General features: G+C 54.3%; 1 protein-coding gene and 1 long non-coding RNA gene across 3 annotated transcripts, besides 10 other annotated features; one reads left to right on the forward strand and one right to left on the reverse strand.

Moving 5' to 3' along the window:
• Nucleotides 55-568: an enhancer, noted in NCBI's record as "H3K27ac-H3K4me1 hESC enhancer chr11:67383983-67384496 (GRCh37/hg19 assembly coordinates)". NCBI's record gives its function as "activates a minimal SCP1, AML or CMV promoter by ChIP-STARR-seq in primed H9 embryonic stem cells {active_cell/tissue: H9 hESC(primed)}" and the evidence as "EXISTENCE:reporter gene assay evidence [ECO:0000049][PMID:30033119]".
• Nucleotides 581-1,195: an enhancer, noted in NCBI's record as "OCT4-NANOG hESC enhancer chr11:67384509-67385123 (GRCh37/hg19 assembly coordinates)". NCBI's record gives its function as "activates a minimal SCP1, AML or CMV promoter by ChIP-STARR-seq in primed H9 embryonic stem cells {active_cell/tissue: H9 hESC(primed)}" and the evidence as "EXISTENCE:reporter gene assay evidence [ECO:0000049][PMID:30033119]".
• Nucleotides 2,564-3,437: an enhancer, noted in NCBI's record as "H3K27ac hESC enhancer chr11:67386492-67387365 (GRCh37/hg19 assembly coordinates)". NCBI's record gives its function as "activates a minimal SCP1, AML or CMV promoter by ChIP-STARR-seq in naive H9 embryonic stem cells {active_cell/tissue: H9 hESC(naive)}" and the evidence as "EXISTENCE:reporter gene assay evidence [ECO:0000049][PMID:30033119]".
• LOC124902696 (uncharacterized) lies at nucleotides 3,482-10,936 on the forward strand. The gene is made up of 2 exons (XR_007062741.1): nucleotides 3,482-4,079; nucleotides 9,597-10,936. It is a non-coding gene; the product is annotated as an uncharacterized LOC124902696 (long non-coding RNA).
• Nucleotides 4,735-5,317: an enhancer, noted in NCBI's record as "OCT4-NANOG-H3K27ac hESC enhancer chr11:67388663-67389245 (GRCh37/hg19 assembly coordinates)". NCBI's record gives its function as "activates a minimal SCP1, AML or CMV promoter by ChIP-STARR-seq in naive H9 embryonic stem cells {active_cell/tissue: H9 hESC(naive)}" and the evidence as "EXISTENCE:reporter gene assay evidence [ECO:0000049][PMID:30033119]".
• Nucleotides 5,318-5,899: an enhancer, noted in NCBI's record as "OCT4-NANOG-H3K27ac hESC enhancer chr11:67389246-67389827 (GRCh37/hg19 assembly coordinates)". NCBI's record gives its function as "activates a minimal SCP1, AML or CMV promoter by ChIP-STARR-seq in naive H9 embryonic stem cells {active_cell/tissue: H9 hESC(naive)}" and the evidence as "EXISTENCE:reporter gene assay evidence [ECO:0000049][PMID:30033119]".
• Nucleotides 9,156-9,685: an enhancer, noted in NCBI's record as "H3K27ac hESC enhancer chr11:67393084-67393613 (GRCh37/hg19 assembly coordinates)". NCBI's record gives its function as "activates a minimal SCP1, AML or CMV promoter by ChIP-STARR-seq in naive H9 embryonic stem cells {active_cell/tissue: H9 hESC(naive)}" and the evidence as "EXISTENCE:reporter gene assay evidence [ECO:0000049][PMID:30033119]".
• A 544-nt stretch (nucleotides 10,937-11,480) lies between the features above and the next one.
• NUDT8 (nudix hydrolase 8) lies at nucleotides 11,481-13,480 on the reverse strand. 2 transcript variants are annotated; one of them, NM_001243750.2, is made up of 4 exons: nucleotides 13,261-13,480; nucleotides 12,462-12,594; nucleotides 11,866-11,943; nucleotides 11,481-11,794 (listed from the first exon to the last, which is right to left on the reverse strand). In NM_001243750.2, exons 1-4 carry the CDS (start codon nucleotides 13,452-13,454, stop codon nucleotides 11,489-11,491), a joined length of 711 nt encoding a protein of 236 aa, NP_001230679.1. In that variant the 5' UTR covers nucleotides 13,455-13,480; the 3' UTR covers nucleotides 11,481-11,488. The 2 variants fall into 2 exon arrangements, with proteins under 2 accessions (NP_001230679.1, NP_862826.1); NM_181843.3 differs by having other exon boundaries at nucleotides 11,481-11,943.
• Nucleotides 12,021-12,315: a silencer, noted in NCBI's record as "tiled region #370; K562 Repressive non-DNase unmatched - State 14:Gen5'". NCBI's record gives its function as "represses a minimal TATA promoter and a strong SV40 promoter by Sharpr-MPRA in K562 cells {active_cell/tissue: K562}" and the evidence as "EXISTENCE:reporter gene assay evidence [ECO:0000049][PMID:27701403]".
• Nucleotides 12,883-13,032: a silencer, noted in NCBI's record as "silent region_3647". NCBI's record gives its function as "represses an Ori minimal core promoter by ATAC-STARR-seq in GM12878 lymphoblastoid cells {active_cell/tissue: GM12878}" and the evidence as "EXISTENCE:reporter gene assay evidence [ECO:0000049][PMID:35858748]".
• Nucleotides 13,323-14,112: a silencer, noted in NCBI's record as "silent region_3648". NCBI's record gives its function as "represses an Ori minimal core promoter by ATAC-STARR-seq in GM12878 lymphoblastoid cells {active_cell/tissue: GM12878}" and the evidence as "EXISTENCE:reporter gene assay evidence [ECO:0000049][PMID:35858748]".
• Nucleotides 14,233-14,402: a silencer, noted in NCBI's record as "silent region_3649". NCBI's record gives its function as "represses an Ori minimal core promoter by ATAC-STARR-seq in GM12878 lymphoblastoid cells {active_cell/tissue: GM12878}" and the evidence as "EXISTENCE:reporter gene assay evidence [ECO:0000049][PMID:35858748]".

A 14,845-nucleotide genomic window follows, 5' to 3' on the forward strand; every position in this document is an offset into this window, starting at 1 on the left:
TGGGTGTGTTGGGAGTCAGTCCAGCTCCCGGCCCTTACCGCTCTGGGAGCTACTTCACCCAGTGTGAGTTGCTGCTGCTGGCAGTGGGTACGCACTCATGAGGGCAGAGCCCGTGACTGCTGTGTCCCCAGTGAGTGAGGGTGACCCAGAGCTCAGAACCCTCTCAGAGCTCCTTCCTAGCGCTGGGGCTCAGCTTCCCTCCTCCCTCTGCCCCCTTCACACTTTGTCAAAGGGAGTTATTTTTGCCACCATCATGTGGCCCTGCTCCCAGGTGAGGAGGCTGGTGGGCCGGAGGTGACAGAGGGCTGTGGAGGTGATAAGTGGTTTGTGGGAAGGAGGGAGCGCATAGGAGGAGGGGAGGGGGTGCATGGGAAGGTGGGAGGGGAGGGAGGTCTGGGGAGGAGAGGAGGGGAGCCACAGGAGGGGGCTCCTGTGATGGAGCCCTGTGGGGGTGGCCAGTTTACACTCTGAAACATGAACCAGATCATCCCGCCTCCACCCCTGCTTGGAATAAAATCTGAATCCTTTGGTGAGGCACGGCCCCTTTTCACCTCACCAAGGAGTGTCCCCTTGGCATCTCACAGTAACGGCCTGCTCCCCTCCCAAACTGGGCCACCCTCCCTGCCCTTTGACCTGACCACTCCTACTCACCTTTGGTTTCTGGGTCACCCCCTGCAGGGGATCTTGGCTGGTTTTAACCATCCAGCATTCCCTCTCCTCTCTTCTCCCCAGTTATTCTTTTAATTTTTAATCAACATAACCGTAGGTGTGTATGGGGTACAATATGGTGTTCTGATGTGATATGTGTAGAAATGCAATTTCTACAATATGCATTGTAGAAAGAGTCAGTCAGGCTAATGAAAAAAAGAACACTTAAAATGTGCTCTTCAGGCAACTGTGAAATACACAAGGCGCTATTGTTAGGGATGTTTGTCATGCTGTGCAACAGGGCCTTCAGCTTACTCTTCCTGACTGGAACTTTGTACCCTAAGAGCAATGTCTCCCCTCTCCCCATCCCTAGTCCCCCACTCTCCAGCCCCTGGTGACCACCATTCTCTCTGCTTCTAGGAGTTCAACTTTTTCAGATTCCCCATAAAAATCAGACCGTATAGTATTTGTCTTTCTGTGCCTAGCTTATTTCACTTAGCATATCGTCCTCCAGGTTCATCCATGTTGTCACAAATGATAGAATGTCCATCTTTGTTAAGGCTGAACAGTATAGACAGACCATCCTATCCATCCGTCTGATGCTGGGCAGTCAGGTTGCTGCCGTGTCTTAGCTGTTGTGAATGGCACTGCAGTGAACACGGAGGCAGACACCTCTTCAGCATGCTGACTTCAATTCCTGTGGATACTACCCACAAGTGAGGTTGCTGGATCACACGGTAGCTCTATTTTTAGTGTTCTAAGGGACTGCCATATGATTTTCCAAAATGGCTGTGCTCATTTACCTTCCCACAAACAGCACATAAGGCTTCCCTTTCCTCCACATCCTCACGAGCATTTGTTGTCTCCCATGGTTTGGTAGTAGCTTTTCTAACAGGTGTGAGATGGTATCTCATTGAGATTTTAACTTCTATTTCCTTCACGATTAGCGATGTTGAGCATTTTTTCACGTGTCTTTTGAGAAATGTATGTTCAGGTCCTTTGCCCATGTTTAAATGGGGATATTTGTTTCTTGAGTTCCTTGTTTCTTTTGGATATTAGCCCCCTTATCAGGTGTATGGTTTGCAAAGATTTTCTCCTATCCTGTAGTCTCTCTCTTCACTTTGTTGTTTCTTTTGCTGTGCAGAAGCTTTTTAGTCGGGTGCTATCCCATTTGTCTGTTTTTGCTTTTGATGCCTTTGCTTTTGGGGTCCTATCCAAGAAATCATTGCCCAGACCAATGTCTAGAACTTTCCCCATATGTTTCCTTCAAGTAGTGTTACCATTGCAGGTTTTTTTTTTTTTTTTTTTTCCTTTAAGATAGGATCTCACTCTGTCGCCCAGGCTGGAGTGCAGTGGCACAATCTCAGTTCACTGCAGCCTCTGCCCCCTGGGCTCTAGCGATCTTCCCCCCTCAGCTTCTTGAGTAGTTGGGACTACAGCGTGCACCACCATGCCTGGCTAATTTTTTTGTATTTCTGTACAGATGGGGTTTCACTACATTGGCCAGGCCGGTCTTGAACTCCTGAAGTCACGGTGGCCCGCCTTGGCCAACCAAAGTGCTGGGATTACAGGCATGAGCCATGACGTCTGGCTCACTTCAGGTTTTTACAGGCCATTTTGAGTTGATTTTTGTCTAAAGTGGGAACCTCAATTGTTCTTTGGGAACCACTGCTTCTCAGTCCAGGGAGTTCCCTCCTACCCAGGCAAGCATCCCAGATTCTATCCATCAATGTACTGTAAATCCAACTGAGAGGTGACAGCGTGCGGGCAGTCCTCATAGCCCTCGCTCGCTCGCTCTCGGCGCCTCCTCTGCCTGGGCTCCCACTTTGGCAGCACTTGAGGAGTGCTTCAGCCCACCGCTGCACTGTGGGAGCCCCTTTCTAGGCTGGCCAAGGCCGGAGCCGGCTCCCTCAGCTTGCAGGGAGGTGTGGAGGGAGAGGCGCCGGGAACCGGGGCTGCGCGTGGCGCTTGCGGGCCAGCTGGAGTTCCGGGTGGGCGTGGGCTTGGCGGGCCCCGCACTCGCCGCAGCCAGCCGGCCCTGCCGGCCCCGGGCAATGAGGGGCTTAGCACCCGGGCCAGCGGCTGTGGAGGGTGTACTGGGTCCCCCAGCAGTGCCAGCCCACCGGTGCTGCGCTTGATTTCTCGCCGGGCCTTAGCTGCCTTCCTGCGGGGCAGGGCTCAGGACCTGCAGCCCGCCATGCCTGAGCCTCCCACCCCCTCCGTGGGCTCCTGTGTGGCCCGAGCCTCCCCGATGAGCGCCGCCCCCTGCTCCATGGCGCCCAGTCCCATCGACCACCCAAGGGGTGAGGAGTGCGGGTGCATGGCGCGGGACTGGCAGGCAGCTCCATCTGCAGCACCGGTGCAGGATCCACTGGGTGAAGCCAGCTGAGCTCCTGAGTCTGGTGAGGATATGGGGAACCTTTGTATCTAGCTCAGGGATTGTAAATACACCAATCAGCACCCTGTGTCTAGCTCAGGGTTTGTGAATGCACCAGTGGACAATCTGTATCTAGCTACTCTGGTGGGGCCTTGGAGAACCTTTATGTCTAGCTCAGGGATTGTAAATACACCAATCGGCACTCTGTATCTAACTCAAGGTTTGTAAATACACCAATCAGCACCCTGTGTCTAGCTCAGGGTTTGTGAATGCACCAACGGACACTCTGTATCTAGCTACCCTGGTGGGGACTTGGAGAACCGTTGTGTCGACACTCTGTATCTAACTAATCTGGTGGGGACTTGGAGAACCTTTGTGTCTAGCTCAGGGATTGTAAACGCACCAATCAGCGCCCTGTCAAAACAAACCACTTGTCTCTACCAATCAGCAGGACGTGGGTGGGGCCAGATAAGAGAATAAAAGCAGGCTGCCCAAGCCAGCAGTGGCAACCCGCTTGGGTCCCCTTCCACACTGTGGAAGCTTTGTTCTTTCACTCTTTGCAATAAATCTTGCTACTGTTCACTCTTTGGGTCCACACTGCTTTTATGAGCTATAACACTCACCGCAAAGGTCTGCAGCTTCACTCCTGAAGCCAGCGAGACCACAAGCCCACTGGGAGGAACGAACAACTCCAGGCGCGCAATGAACAACTCCAGGCGCGCCGCCTTAAGAGCTGTAACACTCACCGCGAAGGTCTGCAGTTTCACTCCTAAGCCAGCGAGACCACGAACCCACCAGAAGGAAGAAACTCCAAACACATCTGAACATTAGAAGGAACAAACTCCAGATGCGCCACCTTAAGAGCTGTAACACTCACCGCGAGGGTCCACGGCTTCATTCTTGAAGTCAGTGAGAGACCAAGAACCCACCAATTCCGGACACATTTTGGCGACCATGAAGGGACTTTCGCCTATTGCCAAGCGGTGAGACAATCGCTGAGCAGTGAGACCATCACCTATTGCCGAGCGGTGAGACCATTGCCTATCGCCAAGCAGTGAGTACCATTGGACCCCTTTCGCTTGCTATTCTGTCCTATCTTTCCTTAGAATTCGGGGGCTAAATACCAGGCACCTGTCGGCCAGTTAAAAGTGACTAGCGTGGCCGCTGGACTAAAGACATGGGTGTCAGACTTTCTGGGAAAGAGCTCTCTAACAACCCCCGACTCTTCGGAGTTGGGACCGTTGGTTTGCCTAGAACCAGCTTCCGCTTTTCCTGTACTTCTGGGCTGAGCCGAGGGTCGACAGAGAGGAAGGCCATGCAGCTCTGGGGTCCTGACAACATGATGGTTGACCCCGCGGCCATGAGCAGAACTCTCAAAAGCATGTCGCCCAAGCGAGACCCGCCCATCTATCCTATCTATCCTGACCCTAGCCCCCTGGGTCCTAATGCCTGCCAGACAAACTTCCTCTTGCCTCCCTTCTCTGAGGTTAGACCCACTTCTAAAAATTGCTACCTGTCTCTGGTGCTTTTCTAGTTTCTCCGATAAGAATGATTTCTAGTATAAACTCCAGGACTCTGTTACCTTCTTTAGGCACCTGGGCTCACCAATCAGAAAGACATAATTTTTGCCCAAAGCCCCATCGTAGTGGGGACTACCTGGAATTTTAGGATCCCTCCTCACACTGACAGGCCTAACAAAAGCTATTCCTGAAGCTAGGATATGGGGAGCCTCAGAAATTGTATCCTTCCTATTCATATAAGTTAGGACAAAAGATGTCACTCTTCCAACCCTGGAGACCCCTTCCCTCCTTCAGGGTATGGCCCTCCACTTCATTTTTGGGGCATAACATCTTTATAGGACAGGGGTAAAGTCCCAATACTAACAGGAGAATGCTTAGGACTCTAACAGGTTTTTGAGAATGCGTCGGTAAGGGCCACTAAATCCGATTTTTCTCGGTCGGTCCTCCTTGTGGTCTAGGAGGACAGGCAAGGGTGCAGGTTTTCGAGAATGCGTCGGCAAGGACCACTAAATCCGACCTTCCTCGGTCCTCCATGTGGTCTGGGAGGAAAACTAGTGTTTCTGCTGCCGCGTCGGTAAGCGCAACTATTCCGATCAGCAGGGTCCAGGGACCGTTGCGGGTTCTTGGGCAGGGGTTGTTTCTGCTGCTGCGTCAGTGAGCGCAACTATTCCGATCAACAGGGTCCAGGGACTGTTGCGGGTTCTTGGGCAGGGGGAGAAACAAAACAAACCAAAACCGTGGGTGGTTTTGTCTTTCAGATGGGAAACACTCAGGCATCAACAGGCTCACCCTTGAAATGCATCCTAAGCCATTGGGACCAATTTGACCCACAAACCCTGAAAAAGAGGCGGCTCATTTTTTTCTGCACTGCGGCTTGGCCCCAATATTCTCTTTCTGATGGGGAAAAATGGCCACCTGCGGGAAGTACAAATTACAATACCATCCTGCAGCTTGATCTTTTCTGTAAGAGGGAAGGCAAATGGAGTGAAATACCTTATGCCCAAGCTTTCTTTTCATTGAGGGAGAATACACAACTATGCAAAGCTTGCCATTTACATCCCAAAGGAGGACCTCTCGGCTTACCCCCATATCCCAGCCTCCCTATAGCTCCCCTTCCTATTAATGATAATCCTCCTCTAATCTCCCCTGCCCAGAAGGAAATAAGCAAAGAGGTCTCCAAAGGACCACAAACCCCCCCGGGCTGTCAGTTGTGTCCCCTTCAAGTTGTAGGGGGAGGGGAATTTGGCCCAACCCGGGTACATGTCCCCTTCTCCCTCTCTGATTTAAAGCAGATCAAGGCAGACCTGGGGAAGTTTTCAGATGATCCTGATAGGTACATAGATGTCCTACAGGGTCTAGGGCAAACCTTTGACCTCACTTGGAGAGATGTCATGCTACTGTTAGATCAAACCCTGGCCTTTAATGAAAAGAATGCGGCTTTAGCTGCAGCCCGAGAGTTTGGAGATACCTGGTATCTTAGTCAAGTAAATGATAGAATGACAGCCGTAGAAAGGGACAAATTCCCTACCGGTCAGCAAGCCATCCCCAGTATGGATCCCAACTGGGACCTTGACTCAGATCATGGGGACTGGAGTTGTAAACATCTGTTGACCTGTGTTCTAGAAGGACTAAGGAGAATTAGAAAAAAGCCCATGAATTATTCAGTGATGTCCACCATAACTCAGGGAAAGGAAGAAAATCCTTCTGCCTTCCTCGAGCGGCTATGAGAGGCCTTAAGAAAATATACTCCCCTGTCACCCAAATCACTTGAGGGTCAATTGATTCTAAAAGATAAGTTTATTACCCAATCAGCTGCAGATATCAGGAGAAAGCTCCAAAAGCAAGCCCTGGGCCCTGAACAAAATCTAGAGACATTATTAAACCTGGCAACCTCGGTGTTCTATAATAGGGACCAAGAGGAACAGGTCCAAAAGGAAAAGCGAGATCAGAGAAAGGCCGCAGCCTTAGTCATGGCCCTCAGACAAACAAACCTTGGTGGTTCAGAGAGGACAGAACATGAAGCAGGCCAATCACCTGGTAAGGCTTGTTATCAGTGTGGTTTACTGGGACACTTTAAAAAAGATTGTCCAATGAGAAACAAGCTGCCCCCTCGTCCGTGTCCACTATGCTGAGGCAATCACTGGAAGGTGCACTGCCCCAGAGGATGAAGGTTCCCTGGGTCAGAAGCCCCCAGCCAGACGATCCAACAACAGGACTGAGGGTGCCTGGGGCAAGCGCCAGCTCATGTCATCACCCTCACTGAGCCCCGGGTATGTTTAACTATTGAGGGCCAGGAAATTGACTTCCTCCTGGACACTGGCGCGGCCTTCTCAGTGTTAATCTCCTGTCCTGGACGACTCTCCTCAAGGTCCATTACCATCCAAGGAATCCTGGGACAGCCTGTAACCAGGTATTTCTCCCACCTCCTCAGTTGTAATTGGGAGACTTTGCTCTTTTCACATGCCTTTCTTGTTATGCCTGAAAGTCCCACACCCTTATTAGGGAGGGATATATTAGCCAAGGCTGGAGCTATTATCTACATGAATATGGGGAACAAGTTACCCATTTGTTGTCCCCTACTTGAGGAGGGAATCAACCCTGAAGTCTGGGCATTGGAAGGACAATTTGGAAGGGCAAAAAATGCCCACCCAGTCCAAATCAGGTTAAAAGATCCCACCACTTTTCCTTATCAAAGGCAATATCCCTTAAGGCCTGAAGCTCATAAAGGATTACAGAATATTGTTAAACATTTGAAAGCTCAAGGCTTAGTAAGGAAATGCAGCAGTCCCTGCAACACCCCAATTCTGGAAGTACAAAGACCGAGACTAGTGCAAGATCTTAGACTCATTAATGAGGCAGTAATTTCACTATATCCAGTTGTACCCAAACCCTATACCCTGCTCTCTCAAATACCAGAGGAAGCAGAATGGTTCACAGTTCTGGACCTCAAGGATGCCTTCTTCTGTGTTCCCCTGCACTCTGATTCACAGTTCCTCTTTGCTTTTGAGGATCCCACAAACCACACATCCCAACTTACATGGATGGTCTTGCCCCAAGGGTTTAGGGATAGCCCTCATCTGTTTGGTCAGGCCCTAGCCAAAGATCTAGGCCACTTCTCAAGTCCAGGCACTCTGGTCCTTCAATATGTGGATGATTTACTTTTGGCTACCAGTTAGGAAGCCTTGTGCCAGCAGGCTACTCTAGATCTCTTGAACTTTCTAGCTAATCAAGGGTACAAGGTGTCTATGTCGAAGGCCCAGCTTTGCCTACAGCAGGTTAAATATCTAGGCCTAATCTTAGCCAAAGGGACCAGGGCCCTCAGCAAGGAGTGAATACAGCCTATACTGGCTTATCCTCGCCCTAAGACATTAAAACAGTTGAGGGAGTTCCTTGGAATTACCAGCTTTTGCCGACTATGGATCCCTGGATACAGCGAGACAGCCAGGCCCCTCTAATCAAGGAAACCCAGAGGGCAAATACTCATCTAGTTGAGTGGGAACCAGAGGCAGAAACAGCCTTCAAAACCTTAAAGCAGGCTCTAGTACAAGCTCCAGCTTTAAGCCTTCCCACAGGACAGAATTTCTCTTTATATGTCAGAGAGAGAGCCGGGATAGCTCTTGGAGTCCTCACTCAAACTCATGGGACAACCCCACAACCAGTGGCATACCTAAGTAAGGAAATTGATGTAGTAGCAAAAGGCTGGCCTCACTGTTTAAGGGTAGTTGCAGCAGTGGCCGTCTTAGCATCAGAGGCTATCAAAATAATACAAGGAAAGGATCTCACTGTCTAGACTACTTATGATGTAAATGGCATACTAGGTGCCAAAGGAAGTTTATGGCTATCAGACAACTGCCTACTTAGATACCAGGCACTACTCCTTGAGGGACCAGTGCTTCAAATATGCACATGCATGGCCCTCAACCCTGCCACTTTTCTCCCAGAGGATGGGGAACCAATCAAGCATGACTGCCAACAAATTATAGTCCAGACTTATGCCGCCCGAGATGATCTCTTAGAAGTCCCCTTAACTAATCCTGACCTTAACCTATATACTGATGGAAGTTCATTTGTGGAGAATGGGATACGAAGGTTAGTGATGTAACCATACTTGAAAGCAAGCCTCTTCCCCCAGGGACCAGTGCCCAGTTAGCGGAACTAGTGGCACTTACCCGGGCCTTAGAACTGGGAAAGGGAAAAAGAATAAATGTGTATACAGATAGCAAGTATGCTTATCTAATCCTACATGCCCATGCTGCAATATGGAAAGAGAGGGAGTTCCTAACCTCTGTAGGAACCCCCATTAAATACCACAAGGAAATTATAGAGTTATTGCACGCAATGCAAAAACACAAAGAGGTGGGAATCTTACACTGACAAAGCCATCAGAATAGGAAGGAGAGGGGAGAACAGCAGCATAAGCAGCTGGCAGAGGCAGCAGAAAGGAAAGAGACAGGAAGTCAAAGAAAGAGACAGAGAGGAAGAGACAAGAAGTTAGAGAGAAAGAGGGACAGACACAGAAAGTCAAAGAGAGGGTAAAAAAGAGAGGAAGAGACAAAGAAGAAGTCAAAGAGAGAGATGGAAGTAGTAAAGAAAAAACAGTGTACCTATTCCTTTAAAAGCCAGGGTAAATTTCTCTCTACCCAGCCAAGGCATATTCTCTTATGTGGATCTTCAACCCATATCTGCCTCTCAAAGTTGGAAGAAATAATGAAATCTATCCTTACTTTACAATCCCAAATAGACTCTTTGGCAGCAGTGACTCTCCAAAACCGCTGAGGCCTAGATCTCCTCACTGCTGAAAAAGGAGGACTCTGCACCTTCTTAGGGGAAGAGTGTTGTTTTTACACTAACCAGTCAGGGATAGCATGAGATGCCACCCAGCGTTTACAGGAAAAGGCTTCTGAAATCAGACGCCTTTCAAATTCTTATACCAACCTCTGGAGTTGGGCAACATGGCTTCTCCCCTTTCTAGGTCCCGTGGCAGCCATCTTGCTGTTACTCGCCTTTGGGCCCTGTATTTTTAACCTTCTTGTCAAATTTGTTTCCTCTAGAATCGAGGCCATCAAGCTACAGATGGTCTTACAAATGGAACCCCAAATGAGTTCAACTAACAACTTCTACCGAGGACCCCTGGACTGACCAGCTGGCACTTCCCCTGGCCTAGAGAGTTCCCCTCTGAAGGACACTACAACTGCAAAGCCCCTTCTTCGCCCCTATCCAGCAGGAAGTAGCTAGAGCAGTCATCGGCCAAATTCCCAACAGCAGTTGGGGTGTCCTGTTGATTGAGGGGAGACAGCATGCTGGCAGTCCTCACAGCCCTCACTCGCTCGCTCACTCTCGGCACCTCCTCTGCCTGGGCTCCCACTTTGGCAGCACTTGAGGAGCCCTTCAGCTCTGTATCTAGCTACTCTGATGGGTCCTTGGAGAACCTTTATGTCTAGCTCAGGGATTGTAAATACACCAATCAGCACCCTGTGTCTAGCTCAGGGTTTGTGAATGCACCAATGGACACTCTGTATCTAGCTACTCTGGTGGGGCCTTGGAGAACCTTTGTGTCAACACTCTGTATCTAACTAACCTGGTGGGGATGTGGAGAACCTTTGTGTCTAGCTCAGGGATTGTAAACGCACCAATCAGTGCCCTGTCAAACCACTCGGCTCTACCAATCAGCAGGATGTGGGTGGGGCCAGATAAGAGAATAAAAGCAGGCTGCCCGAGCCAGCAGTGGCAACCCGCTCAGGTCCCCTTCCACACTGTGGAAGCTTTGTTCTTTCGCTCTTTGCAATACATCTTGCTACTGCTCACTCTTTGGGTCCACACTGCTTTTATGAGCTGTAACACTCACCACAAAGGTCTGTAGCTTCACTCCTGAGCCAGCGAGACCACGAACTCACCAGAAGGAAGAAACTCCAAACACATCCGAACATCAGAAGAAACAAACTCCAGACGCACCACCTTAAGAGCTGTAACACTCACTGTGAGGGTCCATGGCTTCATTCTTGAAGTCAGTGAGACCAAGAACCCACCAATTCCGGACACACAACCGGCCATGTGACAGGCTCAGGGAAGGACATGTGACTCAAGGCAGGCCAGTGAAGTGCAATTCTAGGTTAGACTGGCCGGGAAGGAGCGGCCGTGTTTTCTGTTGATGGATGCTGCTGCCCTCTCCTCAACCTCTCACGCTCTGCACTACAGACAACCTCCTTGGGGCTGAGGCCAGCACAGCGCAAAGCACAGCAAGAGGGGAGCCCGAGCCCCTGGATCCAGCCATCCTCCACGGCAAGCTCAGACCACCCGCTCCCTCAGCTCTTTCACAGAACCCTGGTCTACCTAGTTGATGTCTTATATAATTCCACTATTATCTGTGATTAATTAATGTGGAACCACATGATTATCTGTGTGACCTGGTCTGAGGTCTCCCCTAGACTGAGCACCCCCTCTGGACGGCAGGTGAGCATCTGACCGGTCCACAGCTGTGGCCCCCACACAGCAGCTGGCACACACAGGGGCTCTGCATGTTAGACTCCTGCAGTAACACCCAGGGGCATGGGTGCGCCTTACTCCTCTCTGGGATCCCGGAGCCCAGCACAGCGTCAGCCAGGCACAGCAGAGAGAACAGGAGGTGCAGGCTGAGACAGGGCAGTGCAGTGCCTAAGAGTCTGGGCTGTGGAGTCTGAGAGCTCTGGTTCCAATCCCAGCGTGGGGCCCTTAGGCAAGGTGTCTCTCCTCCCTGAAAGCAGTCTCACCAGCCAGAGACAGTGTTGGCCCTGCCTTATGGGCTGTTGTGAGGGTGAGATGAATTGACTCCAAGTACTTGGCACCCAGGAAGTGTCCATTGCTGTGGGGCATGGCGTGACTGGAAGGAGGAGCCCCAGCCAGCGACCTGGAGTGGTCTGCCCAAGGTCAAGGCCCCAGTACAGCAGAAGCAAGAGCTCTAGAGCTGTCAAAGACCTTTATTCAGTCCTGGAGTGGAGCTGGCCTGACAGGGTGAAGCCAGGGGCTGCTTAGGGCGGGCCAGACCCTCAGCCCCTGAGCAGGTCAGGCCGGCCAGGCGGGGCTGGTAGGTACCAGGTGCCAGCAGCTGCAGGGCAAACTCAGTGATGACAGCTGTGAGGCCCCAGACCCGGTGTGGTCCATGCAGGAAGACGGGTAGTGTGTAGCGGAAGTGGCCACCCCGGCAGAAGTGGGTATAGCCCTGATTCTGCGTCTGCAGCAGGTGGGCCAGCGGCAGTGCAAACACCTCATCTACCTGCAGGCAGGAGGCAGAGAGGGTAGACAGAGGACTGGAACAGCCCAACCCCCTCATATCCCCCAGCTCACCTCCTCCGAGTTGGGCCTGAGGCTCTGGGGATCCAGTGGGCCTACACCAGCAAGCACTGGCACCACGGTGGCCTTTTGCTGGGGAAGAGGGCAGGTGGTCAGGGAAGCATGGCCTTCGCTGGGTTTGAAGGCTGGGGAGGGGAGTGTGAGAGGAAGACCCCTTTGCCATGCATAGGCCTTTGGTAGTCATGTTCGGGTCCACCTGCCTGTGTCCTCCAGCCATGCTGACTGACTCAGGTCCCCTCAAATGCACTAGACCTGTTCCCTCTGCTTAGGACAATCTCCCACTTGGCATTCAAGCCTGGGTTCAATCCCTGCCTACCCCATGAAGCTTCCCTGACCCTAATCCACCAAACTGAGTGGAGCTGGCCCACCCCATCGCCCTGGGCCACCTCTACTCAGGACACCAGAGCCTCCCCAATCCCTTCCCGAGGGGGTGTGTGGGGTGGTGCATGTGACCAGGCAGGTTAGGGGCACCCTTCCACACTTTGTGCCCGTGGGGGTCCATGACCACTCTCCTGGTCCCTGGTAGCCCAGCTCCAGGGCAGGCACAGAGTGAGTGAATGGGGTGGGGTGGCCTCAGCCAAGTGGCTTACCGGATCATACACAGGCCGCAGCAGGCCCCACACGTGCTCCTCGGGCACTGCCAGGCCCAGCTCCTCCCGGGTTTCCCGCAGGGCCGTGTGCACCACATCTTGGTCAGCCGGGTCGCACTTGCCGCCTGGGAAACTAAACAGACACAAGGAGTCTGGTCCTTGGACTCTTGGGGCCACGGAGAGGTCGGGGTATCGGCAGTGCGGGGGGGGCCACTGGCCCACCGAAGTGTCGCCTGCCTCTGCCCCTAGTTTACTGGGAGGCCCCAGGCAAGCCATGCGACCTCTGGAGGCCAGTTTACCTCCCTGAGCAATGGGGATAAGGAAGAGAGGCCCGGGACAGCGCAGGATAAGAGGGTCTGCAGCAGGGGCAAGAAGATCCTGGGGCTCAGATACCCAAATTCGGCCTATGGTGGCCCCAGCAACACTGACATTGTCCTCAGGATGTTCTTAATTCCCGCCGGGCGGGGCCCGAACCTCTCCGTAGTCGCCGGCAGGGGGCGGCGTCCGCCCTCTAAGCGGGAAACAGCTCAAAGGGGTGTCCCGGCCCAGGCGTGCGCGCAAGGACGCGTACGAGGGGCCCACGCGGCGAGGACGTGGCGCCCCGGCAGGTGCACCGGGGCCGACGGACACGGATCGCTGACCTCTCGCTGCAGCCCTTGGGCGGAGGGACTCTCCCCAGACCCATTTTACGGAGGCGGAAACCGAGGCTCGAAGGGGCTAAGTGCCCTGCCAGAGGTCCCTGCCAGCCCCGGGCTCCTGTAGCCTCCGGCAAAGGGCGAGGAGTTCCCGGCCGCTGTACCTGACGTCGCCCTTGTGCCTCCCGGTCAGGCGGCTGGACCGCAGCGTGTACAGCAGCGCCGGGACCCCACGCACTGAGCAGAGCGGCACGAGCACCGCGGCCGACGCGGGCCGCGCGCGGAGCCGGGCCGTGGCCCCTGCCAGCAGCCGGCGGCAGCGCAGCTCGCCCTCGGCCGACAGGCAGTCGGGCAGCATGTCAAGTCCTGCGCGGCCGGGACACTGAGGGCGCGGGATCGGGCGAGGGAAGAGGCGGGGCGAGGCGGGGCGGGGCGCTCAGCCCGGGTCCCTCCGAAAGCTGAGAGGGAGAAGGGGCAGCCCGCGCGACGCGTCCCGCCTGGGGGGCTGCAGAGCGGCAGCGGCGTCGGGGGGCCTCAGTGGGGTGGGTCTGTTCGTGGGCGGGGCCTTCCCGGAGACGGGGCCTCGGTGGGACTGGGTCTGTTCGGGGGCGGGGCCTGTTTGAAGGCGGGTCCTCGGTGGGACGGGGTCCGTTAGGGGGCGGGGCCTGTTTGAAGGCGGGGCCTCGGTGGGACGCGTTGAGTCCCCCGGATGGGAGGGACGGAGGGCGGCGGGGCGGGGCGGGGCGGGGCCTGCGCGGGAGCCGGACTCGGACGTTACTGCCAAAGGGCGGCGGGGCCTAGTAGGCAATCGAGGTTGGGGCGGGCTGGGGGCGGGGCCTGGACCGGAGCTTTTGCTACGAAGGACTGGGGGGCGTGGCCAGGAGGACTGTGCTTCCGGCAGGGCCGGGCCGTGGCCGGGGGTGTGGCCGCGGGGAGGGAGATGGGCGCGGAGCTGCAGGACCTGCCGGTTGTGTTCTCCGAGATCCTGAAACCACGCGAACCGTGAAGCGCCCGGCGACCGTCCTCGGTCCCGTTGGGTCCTGGCGTTGGGGTGTCTGATGAGGCCCCGCCGGCCCCCACTGGTCCGTCCCTCCCCTAGGGGCTCCAGGATGTACGGAGCCGGGATCCCACGGGGACGCCCCTCCAGGAACCCGAGGTCGATCGGTGCGCGAGAGGAGCGTCCGGCCCAGCCCTCCCTCCGGTCCTCCCTCCCGATACCGCTGGGTGGCGCGCGCCGCCCCCAGTCTTGTCTTCCCCTCTGGCTCCGTCGGACTCCAGCCCCAGGCCTTTGACCTCCTTGTCCCAGCGTCCAGAGCTCTTCTCCCTTCCTGCCTTGAGTCTTGACCGGATTCCCAAATCCCTCCCCCTTTCCTACCTCGGCCCCTGTGGTCACTGACCACCGTGGTTCTGCGCCCTTCCACCAGACCCTGGGCTTGGGGACCAGATGACCCCAGCCTTGCGCACAGCATTTAAACGTGGGGTGGCGGGTGTCCGCCATGCTCTGCTGTGTGACGTTGAGCAGGTCCCGCGCCTCTCTGAGCGCCAGTTTCGATCCTCATCTGGGCAAGTGCAGCCCTGCCACTGGGCTGGAGTCACCACTTTTAATATTACTGTGTGCTCCCAGGGATGCGGACGGCACTGGGCAGAGCTTCGGGATGCCTACAGGGCTGATGTGGGGACTATGATGGGTCTGGGAGTTCCTGAGGCCCCCACCCACCCTGACCACGACGACAGAAGTGCTCTGACCAC

This window comes from Homo sapiens, chromosome 11, assembly GCF_000001405.40.
Source record: "Homo sapiens chromosome 11, GRCh38.p14 Primary Assembly".
NCBI classification, from domain to species: Eukaryota; Metazoa; Chordata; class Mammalia; order Primates; family Hominidae; genus Homo; species Homo sapiens.

Coding starts and splice junctions, on each gene's coding strand:
- NUDT8 (NM_001243750.2), bottom strand. CDS start 13,454: ATGCTGCCCGACTGCCTGTCGGCCGAGGGCGAGCTGCGCTGCCGCCGG. Junction 12,595..13,260: donor AGGCACAAGGGCGACGTCAG/GTACAGCGGCCG, acceptor GTGTCTGTTTAG/TTTCCCAGGCGGCAAGTGCG. Junction 11,795..11,865: donor TCAGGCCCAACTCGGAGGAG/GTGAGCTGGGGG, acceptor TCCTGCCTGCAG/GTAGATGAGGTGTTTGCACT.